The sequence below is a fragment of the Homo sapiens genome, chromosome 11 (assembly GCF_000001405.40).
Source record: "Homo sapiens chromosome 11, GRCh38.p14 Primary Assembly".
NCBI lineage: Eukaryota > Metazoa > Chordata > Mammalia > Primates > Hominidae > Homo > Homo sapiens.
Window position 1 is genome coordinate 49024434 of NC_000011.10, and position 18784 is coordinate 49043217.

General features: G+C 37.4%; 1 protein-coding gene across 1 annotated transcript; it reads left to right on the forward strand.

Annotated features, from left to right (window-relative positions):
- The first annotated feature begins 4389 nt into the window (after positions 1 to 4389).
- On the forward strand, positions 4390 to 13722 carry TRIM49B (tripartite motif containing 49B). Its single transcript, NM_001206626.2, has 7 exons — positions 4390 to 4542; positions 7163 to 7577; positions 7843 to 7938; positions 9713 to 9943; positions 10662 to 10684; positions 11868 to 11965; positions 13045 to 13722. Exons 2-7 carry the CDS (start codon positions 7167 to 7169, stop codon positions 13542 to 13544), a joined length of 1359 nt encoding a protein of 452 aa, NP_001193555.1. The 5' UTR covers positions 4390 to 4542; positions 7163 to 7166; the 3' UTR covers positions 13545 to 13722.
- Positions 13723 to 18784: the final 5062 nt, after the last annotated feature.

The window sequence follows — 18784 nt, forward strand, 5'->3', positions numbered from 1 at the left end:
AATGTGACAGGGGTAAGGAGGAAAGATTTCTATATGTAGTACTCATGATCCTTTGGGCTTAGGGTAGGTAAAACCACAAGATATGCTAACCTTACATTCTGCTCTGTTCCTTGGAAATTTTATAAAGAACACTTACTGTTGTTTATAAACAAAAATGGATTCCAGTGAAGGGAAATGGCTAAGTCCATGAGCACCATTAGAACTGGTAGGGTTCAGGAAAGAATGTGAAAACTCTACTCCACAGTACTCATTTTTCTATACTGTGCTAGGAAAGATGAATGGAAAACAAATTCGGCAATGTAATGTCTGAGAACAGGATACACAGCCAGATATGGGAAGAATAAAATATAGGAATCTTGTGTCTACTGAATCTAGAGAAGAAAATGTTTTGTTAACTCTTTGCTATGAAAATGCTTTGAGGCTGGGAAAAGTGGCTTACACCTGTAATCCCAGTGCCTTGGAAGGTTGAAGCAGGAGGATTGAGTCCAGCAGTTTGAGACCAGCCAGAACAGCATAAGAAGACCATATCTCCACAAACAATTTAAAAAGTAACCTGAAGTGGGGGTGTCTGCCTGTAGTCAGAGCTACTCAGGAGGCCGAGGTTGAGGATCACTTGAGCCTAGGAGGTTGAGGCTGCAGTAGCTATGATCCAGCAACTGCACTATAGTCTGGGTGACAGAGTGAGACCCTGTCTCTAAGAAAAGAAAAAAGAATAGAAAAGGAAAAACATGATTGAAATCTAAAACCTAGGGTGCTGTTTGTAATTGTTGGCTCCATTATTTTCTCAAGGAAGAAAACCTATTTGATTCTGATTTTTACAGCCTAATGATAATGTAGCAATATTCAAGAACTGAATGTTTCATTCATCAGAGGAAGAAACTTCAGAATGTAGGCTGAACCTCACTTGAACACACAAGCACAGAAGGAATCATATGTGTTTCTGTGGCTCTAAGTGAGAAAATACATTGAGAGATTTGAGGATTTATGGAGTTGACGACATGGGCTTGATCCCTGAATCCATTCCATACAGGAAACAGGACCGTAAAAAGATGGCTTATGACCGGGCGCGGTGGCTCACGCCTGTAATCCCAGCACTTTGGAAGGCTGAGGCAGGCGGATCACAAGGTCAGGAGATTGAGACCATCCTGGCTAACACAGTGTAATCCCGTCTCTACTAAAAATACAAAAAAATTAGCCGGGCATGGTGGCGGGCGCCTGTAGTCCCAGCTACTCGGGAGGCTGAGGCAGGAGAATCACTTGAACCCGGGAGGTGGAGCTTGCGGTGAGCCAAGATCACGCCGCCACTGCACCCCAGCCTGGGCGACAGAGAGAGACTCGGTCTCAACAAAAAAACAAAAAACAAACAAACAAAAAACTTACCTTTTATGTGTTCATATGTAAAGTTGGGACAATGCTACACATATTGCATATTTTCTGTGGAGATTAGGAACAATGTGTGCATGGAGACAGCACAGTAACTGGTACATCATAGCCCATGTATCACATTGTCCCCTTCCTTTTTCTAACATATTTCTCTCCACTCAAATAGAGAAGAGGTTTCAAGAGAAAATGACTGGGGTTTGTAGAAAAATAGACAATAAATGGGTAAAACAATTGAGAAGAAATGCCAAAAAAAGTGTGTTAAAGAAAAGATAGCCCTGGACATTCAGGATCCAGAAAGCAAAATACAACTTTTTGGGAAATTAATAAATTTTGTTAGCATGGGAAAAAATATGCAGAATTCTCTCCATGTGCGCAAATAAAACAAACAAAATGTCAAAGGAGTTATAATACCTAGGTTTTAAATGGTGTTTATCATAGAATGGCATTTTTATAAAAATTTAAAAATTTCCAGAATTAAATAAAGTCAGATTTCTACATATGTTAAGGAAGCAGAAATAGATCAACTTTCATACAAAGATTTTCCAATGAGTTTTAGAACCCAGATGAAAAAAGAGTCTATTACCAGATTCTCAAAAATAGATGTGTAATTCAACAGAAAACTTTGTGGTAGAGGTAGGTTTCAGATGCTAGAATGAAAACAGTCTCATGTACAAAAAAGTATCTTTTTTATTAAAAGGAGAAGCACTGGGAAATAAGGAAATATTCCAAATTGGCTGGAGTGTCCTTTATCCACATCACGGATTGTTCTTGCCTATACCCACCTCTACTCTCTCTTCTGGATTGGGTAGGACTTTTGGAACCTACAAAATGCCAGCTCTAAAGAGAATTACTTTCTTATATTTGTTTCATGGTCTGAGACTCAAGTAGGAAAATAGGTTGTTTCCTTGATAATGCCACAGTAGACAGAGGTAGGTCTGTAATTGAAAGCTCCCAATTTCCAGTGCTCTAGGCTTCAACTGCTTAAAGCTGAGTGTTTGAATAAGTGAATGATGTGGTGCAAAAAGTGGTTGAAATAAAATCAGAAGCTACCTACCTTCCTTTCTCTCCTTGCCTTAATTCCTTCCTGATACACAGCATCATCATACCTTGTAATGGAGTACCAGGGCCCTGCCACGGAGCTCCAGAATTTAAGCAGAGAATGTCCGCAGGATCCAGTCCATGACCGAGGGTTTCACAAGTTTCCCACTCTGGAGTCCAGGACTGAGCCAACAGGGCCCCCACACACAACCAGCGCAGATCTTACTTCTGTGTGGACACTTTGGTTAATTACTTAGATTTATTGAGGTACAGAATGTGCATACAGGGTGGTCAGTCAGTTGGTGGTCTTGGACAGTAAACTGACAATAGAACAAGAAAATCTATTGTTCAATTCCTTGTATTTAATGAAATATAAACTCTGGATGATTTTATGATGTGTCAACTTGAGTACATGTATGTACAAAGAGGAAAATGAGGGCAGTAGCCATTTTGTGGCATAGACATACCTTATTATTCTTCAATGAAACACTTAGGACCTGCTGGAAAGGCATTTTGCAGATGCAAGCAAAAATCCTAATCCTGTGACTAGGAAGTGTACCCAAGTAAGCCTGACTTCATCAGTGAAAGTCCTTTAAAGAAACACATAGGCATTCCTTGAACAACATTTTAAACGGCAAATGGGACTCTAATCTTCCAGTTGCCCCCTATTGACTTTAAACCAAAGCTTTGATTCATGACCACTGGGATCCAGCCAGCGGGGGATTTCTTTTCCTGATGGACTGTACCCAGGATCTCACATTTGCTTAAGCAGCCCCCACAATTGGGTAAGCCAAGTCTTTGCACTTAATTCATATGTGAATCTCCCTAACTATACATATATCTTATGGGTTCTGCTTTTGTCTTTGAACCTGGACAGACCTGGGTCTGATAGATTTGTCTTCACTGTTTTGACAGTCTTGACCATAAGTCTTCTGGACCATTGGCAAAGAATTCCTCTATCAGAAGATATTTGAGTAGTCCCTTCTGAATTCTCTTTTTTAAAAAATAATTTTCATATAACAACAAAAAGATTTGGTATAGAAAGAAAAATATAGTCCATCTCTATCATTTGGATTCTGTATTTGTGAATTTGCCTATATCCTAAAAGTTATGTGTAATCCCCAAAATAATTCCCATGGTGCACTCCTAGTCATTGTAGGACATCATGCACTATATGGAGAAAAACATTAAAATAATAATTCATCTTTCACCCATGAAACTGGTGAAGTTTTGTAAATTCAGTGAGAGACCCCAGGTTAGTGGGTTTATTTGGTTAATCAGTGATTTCTCTTAGAGTGGTAGAAAACAGAAAACAAAAAGGAAAGTTTTATCTTCCATTGGACTTCTCTGGAAATATCCTATAAATGTACTAAAGCAGCATTTAAGCTGGATGAGGTGGTTTATACCTGTACTCTTAGCACTTTGGAAGGCCAAGACCAGAGGACCACTTGAAGCCAGGAGTTGGAGAACAGCATGGGCTACAGAGTCATACACTGACTTTACCAAAAATTTCAACAAAAAAAATTAGCCAGGTGATATAGTGTGAGCCTAAAGTCTTAGCTACTTGGAAGGCTGAAGCAGGAGGATTACTTTGAATTCAAGGCTGCAGGGAGCTATGATTATGCTACTGCACTCCAGAAGGAGACCCTTTCTCTAGAATAAATAAATGTGCACTTAGAGGAATGCCTGTATCATGGAAGAAACTCAATAAACAGTATAAAATGCATCTTAGTTAATTTCTAGCCTATGTATGCTCTGATAGGATTTATGTTACATATGATTCATTCAGGCACTGGTGTTCAGAATGCAAGTGTGATGATAATTTAATCAGAGCTGCAAAGGTGTCTTCTAAATACTGCATAAACCTAATCATCTTTGTCTCCACCTTTCTGAATGCTCTAAATACCCATAAAGAGGTGGGTGTGGTCTCCACAGATTCTTATAAAAGGACACAGAAGAGACAAGCTCAGTTTTCTCTGAAGGAGAAGGACTGCACTTAGAACTGCATTTTGGTGACCTCTGAAATTCAGTACGGCAGTGAATGAGCTTCTGACGTTGAGGTGAACTTAACAAAATTATTTTTGGAAAAATCGTTGTGGGAACCATTAAAAGAACTCAGGGGTGAGTGAAACATATTGATAAAATTATATCATCTTTCCTTTACACAATAATAAATTAGAGTGTTAAAAATATCTCATTATCTTAAATCTACACAATGATACCATTTGTAACTCATGTTCTTACTATAGATTTTATGAATTATAAGGATACTAATTGTTATTTTGTGCTTTCTATGATTGTTTAATATAGTTCTGAAAAACAAAATATCTAGTGTTTGCTGCAACAGATATGTATTCATAATGAATATATGGAGTTGATATATATATGTACACATAGGTGTGTGTGTATATGTATATAATGAGTGTATTAATATTGTCAAATTGAATTGAGAAGGCATTAATGAATGATGAGGTTATTTGCTTTCATAACATTCAGGTTTTAGACTTGACTTTAAATTAGTAAGGTAATGATGAACGATGCAAAATAGTGAAACTAAAACAATGAGAAAGCTCCCCAAAATATCCTACTTTAGAAATCAAAACACAATTTTTTGAACAAGTAAATTTATAATACCTAATTTGGTATGTGATTGTGATTGTCATCTCACTTGAATCTCAATCTTATTAAACTGTGAAAAATTTCTTAAAATGTCTTAGATGAGTTCTGGAAAATATTTGCAATTCTAAGATTTTTCACTGCTTTCACTTAAATTCAGAAGTGATATTAAACTAGCAGCTTTATGCTGCTTTATGCTAAAGGACTTAAAATTGCCAAAACAAAGATTATAGTTTTTATATTAGTCAGAGTTCTCCAGACAGAACCATAGGATGTATACGTATATGTGTGCTGATACATTTATCGGCCATTTGAGTCAGCCACAAACCACATATGGTGGTCCCATAAGATTATAATACCAATATGTTTACTGTACCTTTTCTGTATTCAATTATGTTTAGATACACAAATAGTTATCATTGTGTTACAGTTGCCTACAGTATGCAGTACAGAACATACTGTACAGGTTTGTAGCCTATTGTAGGAACAATAGGCTATAGTGTATACCATAGGTGTGTAGTAGGCTATACCATCTAGATTTGTGTGGTATATTCTATCATATTAAAACAATAAAACCACCTGGCTGGGCACTGTGGCACGTGCCTATAATCCCAGCACTTTGGAAAGCCAAAGCGGGCAGATAACCTGAGGCCAGAAGTTCAAGTGCAGCCTGGCCAAGATGGCAAAACCCCATCTCTACTAAAAAAAATACAAAAATTAGCCAGGCCTAGTGTCACGTTCCTGTAATCCCAGGTACTTGGGAACCTGATGCAGGAGAATCACTCTGAACCTGGAGGCGCAGGTTACAGTGAGCCGAGATCACGCCACTGCATTTCAGCCTGTGTGACAGAAGGATACTCTGTCTCAAAAAAAAGAAAAACAAAAAAAACTAAAAACACCTGACACATTTCTCAGAACATACATCTGTCCACAAGCTATACATGATTCTACATGGGACAGAATTCATCAGGAAAATTAATTTGCTTGATTATGGAGTCTAGAGAGTTCCAACATAGGCTGTCTCTAAGCTGGTGTCCTGAGAATACCGGTATCCTGGCTAAGCTCAAGTCTGAAAGCTTCAGAACAAGTTTCAGGAGAGAGACGGAGGAAGTTGCCTTTTTTCTGCCTTTTTCTTTATATCTGAGGTGTCAGCTGACTGGATGGTGCCCACACACATTGAGAGATGAGGCTCCCACTCAGCTCACCAACTCACATATCTCTCTTCTCTAGAAACACCTTCACAGACTCACCCACAAACAATGCTTCACTAGTTCCCTAGGTATTGGTTAATCCAGTCAGACTGATACCTAAAATTCACCATCACACCATGGAAATATAATTACACCTCTCTGAGTTTAACAAAAACCTCCTATATGTTAGTTCAGAGTTTGCACAGCCCTAGGGGAAGTTAATTTAATCCGCAAGAAAATAAAAAGACCCAATATCTTTAATAATTTTTCTTTTCCCTACTAGTGAACCTTGATTGGTTTAATTGCAGTCTTTTTCTTGTTTATTTGGTTGGTGGGCTTTTTTTTTTAATTTTGTTTTGATTTGGGTCTTTGTTTTTAATTTAATTTAATTTTAAGTCCTGGGATAACTGCAGGACTTGCAGGCTTGTTATGTAGGTAAACTTGTGCCATGGTGGTTTGCTGCCCGGCTTTTGTGACCCTCTATAAAAATATGTCATAGAACCATCTTCTCATATTTCTTTGGCCATCTTCTCATATTTCTTTGGCCCAGGTAGTTTTTTCCCACTCTTTCATAGTCATTCATCAGTTATTGAAAGAAGAATAGGGACAACTATGATTTATTCTGACCACTTAGAATCAAAACCCAATTTCCAGATCTACGTTCAGAAAATGGGTAGTTGAATAGGTTCGTATTATGCTACAGACAGGAACTAGGAGTAGAAGGGACTGTGAGTGCTCTAGTTAGTAATATCTGTTATAAAGCCAGGAGACTCCCTCTATGTGTAAATTTTTAAGTTTGTAACAGAAGAAATAGTTTGTTGTACTTTAATGAACACTGTCAAGAGAAGAAAATATAACTATCACATATCTCCACATGTTTAGAAGCTTTTCATCAACCCAGGCCCCAAAATGACATGTTTCTCTTTGTTCCTCAGAAACATGAATTCTGGAATCTTACAGGTCTTTCAGAGGGAACTCATCTGCCCCATCTGCATGAACTACTTCATAGACCCGGTCACCATAGACTGTGGGCACAGCTTTTGCAGGCCTTGTTTCTACCTCAACTGGAAAGACAGCCCATTTCTTGTCCAGTGCTCTGAATGCACAAAGTCAACAGGGCAGATAAACCTCAAAACCAACATTCATTTCAAGAAGATGGCTTCTCTTGCTAGAAAAGTCAGTCTCTGGCTATTCCTGAGCTCTGAGGAGCAAATGTGTGGCACTCACAGGGAGACAAAGAAGATGTTCTGTGAAGTGGACAGGAGCCTGCTCTGTTTGCTGTGCTCCAGCTCTCAGGAGCACCGGGATCACAGACACTGTCCCATTGAGTCGGCTGCTGAGGAACACCAGGTAAGTGATGGCTCTGAAGATCGATTTCTGTAAAGGATACATAAAATTCCTGTGGGTCTATTTTCTTGGAGATTGGATAAAACAAACTCTGAGTCCCTTTAAGCAGCTCTGTTTGGGCTTTCTTAGCTTCCAACCTCTGGGCTTTGACAAACATGAAGGGAAACAAAGGAAATGCCATTTACTAGGGGTTTATTTGTCTCTCATTCTGGGGCCCCTCCCTATGTCATGGTCTGCACTGGTGCTTCAATTTATGGCTCTTTTGCAGGAGAAGCTTTTACAGAAAATGCAGTCTTTGTGGGAAAAAGCTTGTGAAAATCACAGAAACCTGAATGTGGAAACCACCAGAACCAGATGCTGGAAGGTTAGTCCTGTACTACTCTACCTTCTCCAGGAACTTATGGTGGGCAAATGGGTGACTCTTAAAATAGGAACTGGATATCAAACTGTAATGTTTCTGGGATTCAGTAAAAAAAAAAGAAAAAAAAAGCGAGAGAAAACATTGAGAAAAAGTGGCCTCATTTTTATATAGAATAGTATGCCTGTTAGGTAGGATTTCTAAGAAAACTACTGATGTCACCCAAAGCATGCTGGTTTGTTTCATACAAACCTATAGTTATACACCAACAGATCCAAGAAACTGGGCCATCGCACAGCATTCTATATTTGCTGGTTGGATAAATGTTAGGCAAAAGGGTTATTTGGCAGTCATGGAATGCTCAGCTGAAACTTCTGAGTGTCAGTCAGCATTAATCTGAATGCTAGTGTGCAAGTAGTATTTGGAATTGTATGGAAAATTTGAGGCAGAAAAAGTGACAGGGCAAATCTAGGGAAACCATGAAATTAAGAATCTCAACTAATTAATATTGAAAAATACATAACATACGATGAGAAAAGTGGTGAGAAATACGGATTTGTGTCTTGAGGGAGACATGTAAACATGCCAGAAATATGGGAACTAGTATCTAAATATAAGGAGAACTCTGAGGACTTCAGAAAAACATTAAAAATAATTTTCTCTTTGTGGATGTATATTTTGAGGGAATGATAGCTAATATTAGTTTGTTGAAAAGCATTTCATGAGAACCTAGTCTACGTTGAATATTAAATTAGAAAATATACTAGTAAAGAAGAAAGGAAGCACCTTTGTCCTCACAAATCATACAATCCAAATAAGAGAGTCAAATGGTCAATACACAAATATATGCAATACATGATGTATTTGAGTGTGGTAGGTTTTTTGTTGGAGAATAATCAAGCAGGGAAGTAGAAAAGGACAATGGAGGCCAGAAACTGGAGATTAGTGTTTGAGTTTTAAATAGGGTGGTCAGAAAAAAGACTCACTGAAAAATTCAAATTGAAACAAAGTTTTGAAGAGGAGGGGGAACACAAATGTGTGTGTGGATATATATGTGGACCATGAGTGTGTATATGTATGTATGTGTGTGTGGTTGTGTGTATATATATATATGTATGTATGTATGTATGTGTGTGTGTTTGTATACATATATATGTAATTCTAGTTGGAGAGAATAGCATATGCAGTAATTTTGAGTTTGTGTATATTTGGAGGCCAGAGGAACCACAAAGAAGTCTATGTTTCAGATTGGGATGACTTAGAAAAAGAATAGAAGGAAATGAATTCAGGGAGACAAAGATGGCCAAATCATAAATGCAGCCTTATTAGGATAGGTTTTGCTGGGTGAAATGCACTTAGCTGGACATGCTAGTCTAAGGTCATTTTACACATAATGAGTTTAAGCAACCTGTTGCATATCTCAGAAATAGAAATAATTGTTTCCTTTCTAGTAACTATAGCCCTATACTCCAACTCTTAAGCATGAACTCTTCTTACTTTTCCATAAATATGGGTTGGAATAGCGAAATTCAAATTGTGTTTTTTTATTTTCAACTATCTTAGAAAACACATTATCTTGAATAAATTTAATGTAATTGGTCAGATACAGCTATGTTGATCTTTACGCAGAAAAAAGGAAAGGAACAAAATTTGTAGATTCTAAGAACTGGCAAGACAGAGGTTTGAACTATTGGACATTCGAGAGACAAAAGGAATCAGTGAGATTTAATAGGAGATGGATATATACATTTCTCTTTTGACTAACCCATTATCACTGCAGGATTATGTGAATTTAAGGCTAGAAGCAATTAGAGCTGAGTATCAGAAGATGCCTGCATTTCACCATGAAGAAGAAAAACATAATTTGGAGATGCTGAAAAAGAAGGGGAAAGATATTTTTCATCGACTTCATTTAAGTAAAGCCAAAATGGCTCATAGGAGGGAGATTTTAAGAGGAATGTATGAGGAGCTGAACGAAATGTGCCATAAACCAGATGTGGAGCTACTTCAGGTACAAACTCGCCATGTGGTTTCAGGTTTTTGAATATTCACATGTATAAGTATTTTCCTCATGGCTGAAATCCATCTCCCTAATTTTATTTCCATGATGTGTTTCCAAAAACACATTCACATAACTAATGCTACTTTGTTGGGAGAGTATAGCCCCACTAAGGGATTCTACCAGGCCAAAGGTCCCTCCTACTTTATCCACCAGCCACAAAACTTTGTGGAATGGTCAAGGTAACAGCCCCAAGAAATATTCCCCATCTAATTCAATAATATACTTTGGGTTGTTAAACATGTATAGAATAGTGAGTGATTCATTTACATTTAGGTTAATTTGTAAACATGGCAAGATCAGAAGTTTTGGGAATCTAGGTTTGCATTAACGTTATTTTGGGGTCCACTCATTTGGGTAACAGGTTCAGTTAAAGATGACTGAGTAGGTTTTTCGTGGTTACCACAGAGCATAGACCTTCTGGGCCTCTTCTCCCTTCACTTGTTTAGAGAATGTCTTCAAGACTCAGACTTTCCCAGGACGTTAATTAATAACAATACAACTGACTGGGTTTTTCATTACAGAAGAAATGAAATAGAAAATACTTTCCAGAAGAGAAGATGGTAGGGGAATAATATCTTCAGAAACTGAGTACAAATCTCACACTGAACTTAGTGAAAGATGCATCTTGTGAAATGCACTAAATCTCTCTTTTTTTTTTTTTTTTCAGGCTTTTGGAGACATATTACACAGGTGAGTGTGTACCTAGATTTTAGCATATGTTCTTTAAGATTCCACGACTATCAAAGCAGGCTTTATTAAAGTCATGGCATAAAGTCATGGCATAAATAATTAAGATATTGATACCACTTTTTTTTTGCATCTACTTTCGTTCCCACACCTTAAAAGACAAGGCCACGAAGTAAATAAATGAATAAAAGAAGAGTGAACTAAAACAAACAATTTGATTCCTGATTTTTTTTTTTTTTTTTTTTTTTTTTTTTTTTTTTTTTGAGACGGTGTCTGGCTCTGTCGCCCAGGCTGGAGTGCAATGGCGCGATCTCGGCTCACTGCAAGCTCCGCCTCCCGGGTTCACACCATTCCCCTGCCTCAGCCTCCCGAGTACCGGGGACTACAGGCGCCCGCCACCACACCCGGCTAATTTTTTGTATTTTTAGTAGAGACGGGGTTCACCATGTTAGCCAGGATGGTCTCTATCTCCTGACCCCGTGATCCGCCCGCCTCAGCCTCCCAAAGTGCTGGGATTACAGGCGTGAACCACCGCGCCCGGCCCCTGATTTTGTTTTATTGCTTGAAAGCCTGCACAGGAGAAAGATAAGAGTTTTGTTTTGTGGATGGTGAGAAAGTCACCAGAGGAAGCAGGAGAGAAGAGGAGGAAGTATTTTAGCAGTGAAAAAGTGTTGATGTTTTGTTTTTTATACATATATACATATCAGTTAACAGTTCTGAAAAATAGATCGAAAAAAACTGGAGTGTTAGAACTGTATAAGTCTCTAGGGAAGTTCTTTGCTAAAAGGGGAGAGAACAAGTTTCCATTCTTTATCTTGAGAAGGAAGCAGTGGAAGCATCAGTCTCCCCAGAACCCCGCTATTTCAGACAAAGATGTCAGGGGAGTCTGCCAAGAAGTGGAACTCAGAATTTCGTTTCTAAATATTCTCAAGGCCATAAAGCTAAGGAACCTTACACATTTGGGGCAAAAAAAAAGAAGGATCAGATTGAATTCTGGCTTAGATTCTTCCATCATGCTTAAAAATTTAGAAACTGTAAAGAATTAATTTGCAAAAGGAAGGAATAATTTTTGAATTATCAAATGTGTAGATTCAAAGGATTCTCATGAAATGTCTTTTACATACAAATAGTGATTTTTATTTATTTTATGGCTGTAGATGTTGTAACTGCAGGTTTTTCCTTGCAGGAGTGAGTCCGTGCTGCTGCACATGCCCCAGCCTCTGAATCCAGAGCTCAGTGCAGGGCCCATCACTGGACTGAGGGACAGGCTCAACCAATTCCGAGGTAAGTCTCCACCCACAGGCAGCACTCCCACTATCTAAATATTATTATTGTTAGGATCACATAGGTAATATTTCATATTTTATCAAATATTTTACTTCTTTTAAGACATAAGTGAACAATATAACCATGCAACCCTTTGGTATCCGTGTCTGTATTTACAGTCAGATTTATAGCATTAAGTTTGAAAGATAGTGAAAAAGAAATACTTTCTGGCATAATATGTACTGAGTTATATAATAGGAAAAAGGAGTAGTGTAGAAAATTTAAAAAAGGAGCCAATGAAATAATGCTCAGAATGGTGAATTATTTAATGTTAAATACAAAATTGTACATTTCTTTAGTGTATTCATTTGAACTGCTAAGAACTGTTCTTTGGGGGAATATAGTTTTCTGGAGATTCTTGGGGGTTTTGTATTTTTTTAATGTGTATATATTATTCATATATTGCAAACATTTGAATTAATAGGTAAAGCTAAAAGGAAGAAATCATTTTGTGAATATAAGTAAAATTACAAATGAAAATAAGTTCAGTTTAATTGCAATATGAAGAGCTACATGTTAAGTCTAAAATCCAGCTTCAGCCCAGAGCTAGCATGGAGGACAGCAGAGAGACTGGTCAAAGATTTTGCAGAGATCTGCTTTAAATTATCACTTATAACATGTAAATATGGACTTTTATCCAGATACCTAGAGCAGTTCTAGAGTAAGTGAAAATCTTCACATTCACATTCTTTCCAAAATGATAGCACTAGTTTTTAAGAATAAGAAACATTTCTAAATAATGATCTTGATAACAGCATTACATTTAGGGCATACAATGTATAAATTTTACTTTGAAAATTGGATTGAAAGAAGTTGGTCTCACATTTGGCTCTCAATATGTAAGTTTTCAAAAAAACATAATATCTGTGGTTAGGGTTCTGTTTGTCTTGTATATAATATTAACCATCTCTATACTTTACTAGAAGTTACAAGCAAAACTTTTTATGACTTTACATTTGCTGGTAAAGTAACTTCTTGATAGACAATTATTTTTTTCTTATTTACACGTCTATGCATGTTTTCTCTTTTTTTTGCAGTGCATATTACTCTGCATCATGAAGAAGCCAACAGTGATATCTTTCTATGTGAAATTTTGAGAAGCATGTGTATTGGATGTGACCATCAAGATGTACCCTATTTCACTGCAACACCTAGAAGTTTTCTTGCATGGGGTGCTCAGACTTTCACCTCGGGCAAATATTACTGGGAGGTCCATGTAGGGGACTCCTGGAATTGGGCTTTTGGTGTCTGTAATATGTATTGGAAAGAGAAGAATCAGAATGAGAAGATAGATGGAGAGGATGGACTCTTTCTTCTTGGGTGTGTTAAGAATGACATTCAACGCAGTCTCTTTACCACCTCCCCACTTCTGCTGCAATATATCCCAAGACCTACCAGCCGAGTAGGATTATTCCTGGATTGTGAGGCTAAGACTGTGAGCTTTGTTGATGTTAATCAAAGCTCCCTAATATACACCATCCCTAATTGCTCTTTCTCACCTCCTCTCAGGCCTATCTTTTGCTGTATTCACTTCTGACCAGAGACAAATCAGAAATGTGTTCACATGCTGTGGGAACCCCTTTATCCCAGGAAGTCCTCTTCCTTGTGCCTTAACATACAGGACAAATAGGCTCTATTTTATATCTTGAATTGCCTTCTAATGTTATCAAAACTCATTTATTGTGTTACTATTAAATATGCTGAAAACACTAAAAGTATATGTATTGGTTCTTTATTAAATAATTTTTGAAAAATCATTATTCATGATCATGGCATACAGTATATTCTCTTTTTTTCTTTATTTCTGACTGTCACTGAGTGAAATAATAGATGGCAGACATGTCTGAATGAAGTAAAAATCAATGGAAGACAGTCAGGATCTTTTGCTTCATGCAAAAAACTTGGAGTGAAGTCTCAATGATAACTGGGAAATGTTTTTCTTCCTCTTTATCTAACTATATTACACTTATCCATCAGGCTTCATTGTATTAATCTATCCTTTGAGGTAATATTATTTGACCTTCTATGCTGGGCTTTATTTTGCAATTCTCACCACAGATATGAATAATCCTTCATTATTAGTGTGCTTGTCTACATTGAAATACACAATGTGATCAGACCAATGCTGGATTAATTGAATTTTTTTTTAAAGTAACTAAATATTGACTCCTACCTCAAACCATACACAGTCATTTCCAGATAGTTTGAAGTCCTGAAAGGAAGGGGAACCTGATACAATATTCTCATAAGGATTTCTTAACCAGGGCACAAATTAATAATTAAAACAATTAGTTCATTTATATTGATAATGATGACTTCTGTGTTTCAAAAAACATTATGCAAACTAGTAGTGGAGAAAGATATTCACCCCAACATACATAAAGTAAAATATAATACATATATATGATGAATACTTAAATTGTAATAAATAAAAGACAGTGAACTCAATAGAAGATTGGCTAAAATATCTGAACAGACACTTTACAGAATTGGATACATAAATAACTAGCCAAATATAAAAAAGTGCTCACTTTCATTAGTCTTACAAAAGTAAGAATTAATCCACCAGTTGTGCCACAGGCCCCCATAAAAAATACCAAAATTTAAAGACACACAATATTGTGTGTTGCCAAAGATACAGAATAAATGAAATTTATTCATGGCTGGAGAGATGTAAATGGATATCCCTTTTGGGAAACTGATTATTAGCATTTCTTATGGGCTAGATATTCTAATTCTAAAATATAGTCAACTGATTGCCTACATATACTTCAACATACACAATATTGTTCACTGCATCAATTTTTATAGTAGCTCCAAATTAGACCCAAAATATTCTTCAACTGTAGAATAGCTAAATAAATTTGGTGTATTTATGCAAAATAATCCTATAAAACAATAAATAACTCACTGAATGCAACAAAGCTGATGAATCTCAGAAACAAGTTAATAAACATATGCCAATTTAAACGATAAAATTGAAGTTAAGAAAAGACTTTTCCATGTATATAATATGTTGGTAATTGTAAGCTCTTTATGGGTTCCATAATTACATGAACGCTGTGGAATTATAACTTTTAAGACCCAAAATGTCAAATAATGCATAATGTAGTAGAATAAAAAAGGAGCCCAGGCATGGTGGCACACACCTCCAATCCCAGCACTTGGGGAGACCAAGGTGTGAGAATGGCTTGTGGCCAGGAGTTCCAGACCAGTGGAGGCAACATAGTGAGACCTCATGTCTACTAAACATTCCTTTAGAAATCAGCCTGGCATGATGGCACATGCTATAGTCCCAGCTACTCAGGAGGCTGATGCAGCAGGATGGCTTGTGCCCAGAAGATCCAGGCTGCAGTGAGCCATGGTGGTGCCCTGCAGTCCAGCCTGTGACAGAATGACTGACTGTCTCATAATAAAACAAACTATAATTACTTGATATAACACAAACCAATATATTATAAATACGCTAATTATAGGTATTTTAAATATTGATTTATTTAAAATAACTGAGAAAGCTGGGATAGCTACATGTTTGCTTAGACTAGACAAAAGTGCCTTGGGAAGTAAGTTTAAAGTATTTTTATTAGAGTAAGTGAGGATGAAGTGCTTCATTACAAATGTGATACACACCAGAATCTGCTATGAATAGTCTCATGTCTAGAAGATTTGCGGATATCTAGGTAAGCAGTAATTATTGGGTGCCTGAAGCCTAGCAGGTGCATATTCAGTGTGTCTTCTCTGGAGATGTCTTCTCTGGAAAGTTTGATTTTTTTTTATTATACTTTAAGTTCTAGGGTACATGTGCACAACGTGCAGGTTTGTTACATATGTATACATGTGCCATGTTGGTGTGCTGCACCCATTAACTCCTCATTTACATTAGGTATATCTCCTAATGCTATCCCTCCCCCTCCCCCCACCCCATAACAGGCCCCTATGTGTGATGTTCCCCTTCCTGTGTCCAAGTGATCTCATTGTTCAATTCCCACCTATGAGTGAGAACATGCACTGTTCGTTTTTTTTGTCCTTGTGATAGTTTGCTGAGAATGATGGTTTCCAGCTTCATCCATGTCCCTACAAAGGACACGAACTCATCCTTTTTTATAGCTGCATAGTATTCCATGTTGTATATGTGCCACATTTTCTTAATCCAGGCTCTTATTTTTGGACATTTCGGTTGGTTCCAAGTCTTTGCTATTGTGAATAGTGCCACAATAAACATACGTGTGCATGTGTTTTTATATATAGCAGCATGATTCATAATCCTTTGGGTATATACTCAGTAATGGGATAGCTGGGTCAAATGGTATTTCTAGTTCTAGATCCTTCAGGAATCACCACACTGTCTTCCACAATGGTTGAACTAGTTTACAGTCCCGCCAACAGTGTAAAAGTGTTCCTGCTTCTCCACATCCTCTCCAGCACCTGTTGTTTCCTGACTTTTTAATGATCGCCAATCTAACTGGTGTGAGATGGTATCTCATTGTGGTTTTGATTTGCATTTCTCTGATGGCCAGTGATGAAGAACATTTTTTCATGTGTCTGTTGGCTGAATAAATGTCTTCTTTTGAGAAGTGTCTGTTCATCTCCTTCGCCCACTTTTTGATGGGGTTGTTTGTTTTTTCTTGTAAATTTGTTTGAGTTCTTTGTAGATTCTGGATATTAGCCCTTTGTCAGATGAGTAGATTGCAAAAATTTTCTCCCATTCTGTAGGTTGCCTGTTCACTCTGATGATGGTTTCTTTTGCTGTGCAGGAGCTCTTTAGTTTAATTAGATCCCATTGGTCAATTTTGGTTTTTATTGTCATTGCTTTTGGTGTTTTAGACATGAAGTTCTTGCCCATGCCTATGTCCTCAATGGTATTGCCTAGGTTTAATTCTAGGGTTTTTATGGTTTTAGGTCTAACATTTAAGTCTTTGATCCATCTTGAATTAATTTTTGTATAAGGTGTAAGGAAGGGATCCAGTTTCAGCTTTCTACATATGGCGAGCCAGTTTTCCCAGCACCATTTATTAAATAGGGAATCCTTTCCCCATTTCTCGTTTTTGTCAGATTTGTCAAAGATCAGATGGTTGTAGATAGGTGGCATTATTTCTGAGGGCTCTGTTCTATTCCATTGGTCTATGTCTCTGTTTCAGTACCAGTCCGATGCTGTTTTGGCTACTGTAGCCTTGTAGTATAGTTTGAAGTCAGGTAGTGTGATGCCTCCAGCTTTGTTCTTTTGGCTTAGGATTGACTTGGCCGTGAGGGCTCTTTTTTGGTTCCATATGAATCTTAAAGTAGTTTTTTCCAGTTCTGTGAAGAAAGTCATTTGTAGTTTGATGGGGATGGCATTGAATCTATAAATTACCTTGGGCAGTATAGCCATTTTCATGATATTGATTCTTCCTATCCCTGAGCATGGTATGTTCTTCCATTTGTTTGTATCCTCTTTTATTTCATTGAGCATTGGTTTGCAGTTCTCCTTGAAGAGGTCCTTCACATCTTTTTAAGTTGGATTCCTAGATATTTTATTCTCTTTGAAGCAATTGTGAATGGAAGTTCACTCATGATTTGGCTCTCTGTTTCTCTGTTACTGGTGTGTAAGAATGCTTGTGATTTTTGCACATTGATTTTGTACCCTGTGACTTTGCTGAAGTTGCTGAAGGAGATTTTGGGCTGAGACGATGGGGTCTTCTAAACATACAATCATGTCATCTGCAAACAGGGACAATTTGACTTCCTCTTTTCCTAATCGAATACCCTTTATTTCTTTCTCTTGCCTGATTGCCCTGGCCAGAACTTCCAATACTGTGTTGGATAGGAGCGGTGAGAAAGGGCATCCCTGTCTTGTGCCAGTTTTCTAAGGGCATGCTTCCAGTTTTTGCCCACTCAGTATGATATTGGCTGTGGGTTTGTCATAAATAGCTCTTATTATTTTGAGATACGTCCCATCAATACCTAATTTATTGAGAGTTTTTAGCATGAAGGGCTGTTGAATTTTGTCAAAGGCCTTTTCTGCATCTATTGAGATAATCATGTGGTTTTTGTCTTTGGTTCTGTTTATATGCTGGATTACATTTATTGATTTGCATATGTTGAACCAGCCTTGGATCCCAGGGATGAAGCCCACTTGCTCTTGGCAGATAAGCTTTTTGATGTGCTGCTGGATTCTGTTTGTCAGTATTTTATTGAGAATTTTTGCATCGATGTTCATCAGGGATATTGGTCTAAAATTCTCTTTTTTTGTTGTGTCTCTGCCAGGCTTTTGTATCTGGATGATGCTGGCCTCATAAAATGAGTTAGGGAGGATTCCCTCTTCTTCTATTGATTGGAATAGTTTCAGAAGGAATGGTATCAGCTCCTCCTTGTACCTCTAGTAGAAGTCGGCTGTGAATCCGTCTGGACCTGGACTTTATTTGGTTTGTAGGCTCATAATTATTGCCTTAATTTCAGAACCTGTTATTGGTCTATTCAGGGATTCACCTTCTTCCTGGTTTAGTCTTGGGAGAGTGTATGTGTCCAGGAATTTATCCATTTCTTCTAGATTTTCTAGTTTATTTGCGTAGAGGTGTTTATAGTATTCACTGATGGTAGTTTGTATTTCTGTGGGATCAGTGGTGATATCCCCTTTATCATTTTTTATTGCGTCTATTTGATTCTTCTCTCTTTTCTTCTTTATTAGTCTTGCTAGCAGTCTATCAATTTTGTTGATCTTTTCAAAAAAACAGCTCCTGGATTCACTGATTTCTTGAAGGTTTCATTGTGTCTCTATTTCCTTCAGTTCTGCTCTGATCG

What these genes read in the sequence shown, in the direction of transcription:
- TRIM49B (NM_001206626.2), top strand. Translation starts at nt 7,167, where the DNA reads ATGAATTCTGGAATCTTACAGGTCTTTCAGAGGGAACTCATCTGCCCC. An exon ending in CAGATGTGGAGCTACTTCAG is followed by an intron (nt 9,944 to 10,661) that starts GTACAAACTCGC and finishes TTTTTTTTTCAG; the next exon opens with GCTTTTGGAGACATATTACA. An exon ending in TTTGGAGACATATTACACAG is followed by an intron (nt 10,685 to 11,867) that starts GTGAGTGTGTAC and finishes TTTTCCTTGCAG; the next exon opens with GAGTGAGTCCGTGCTGCTGC.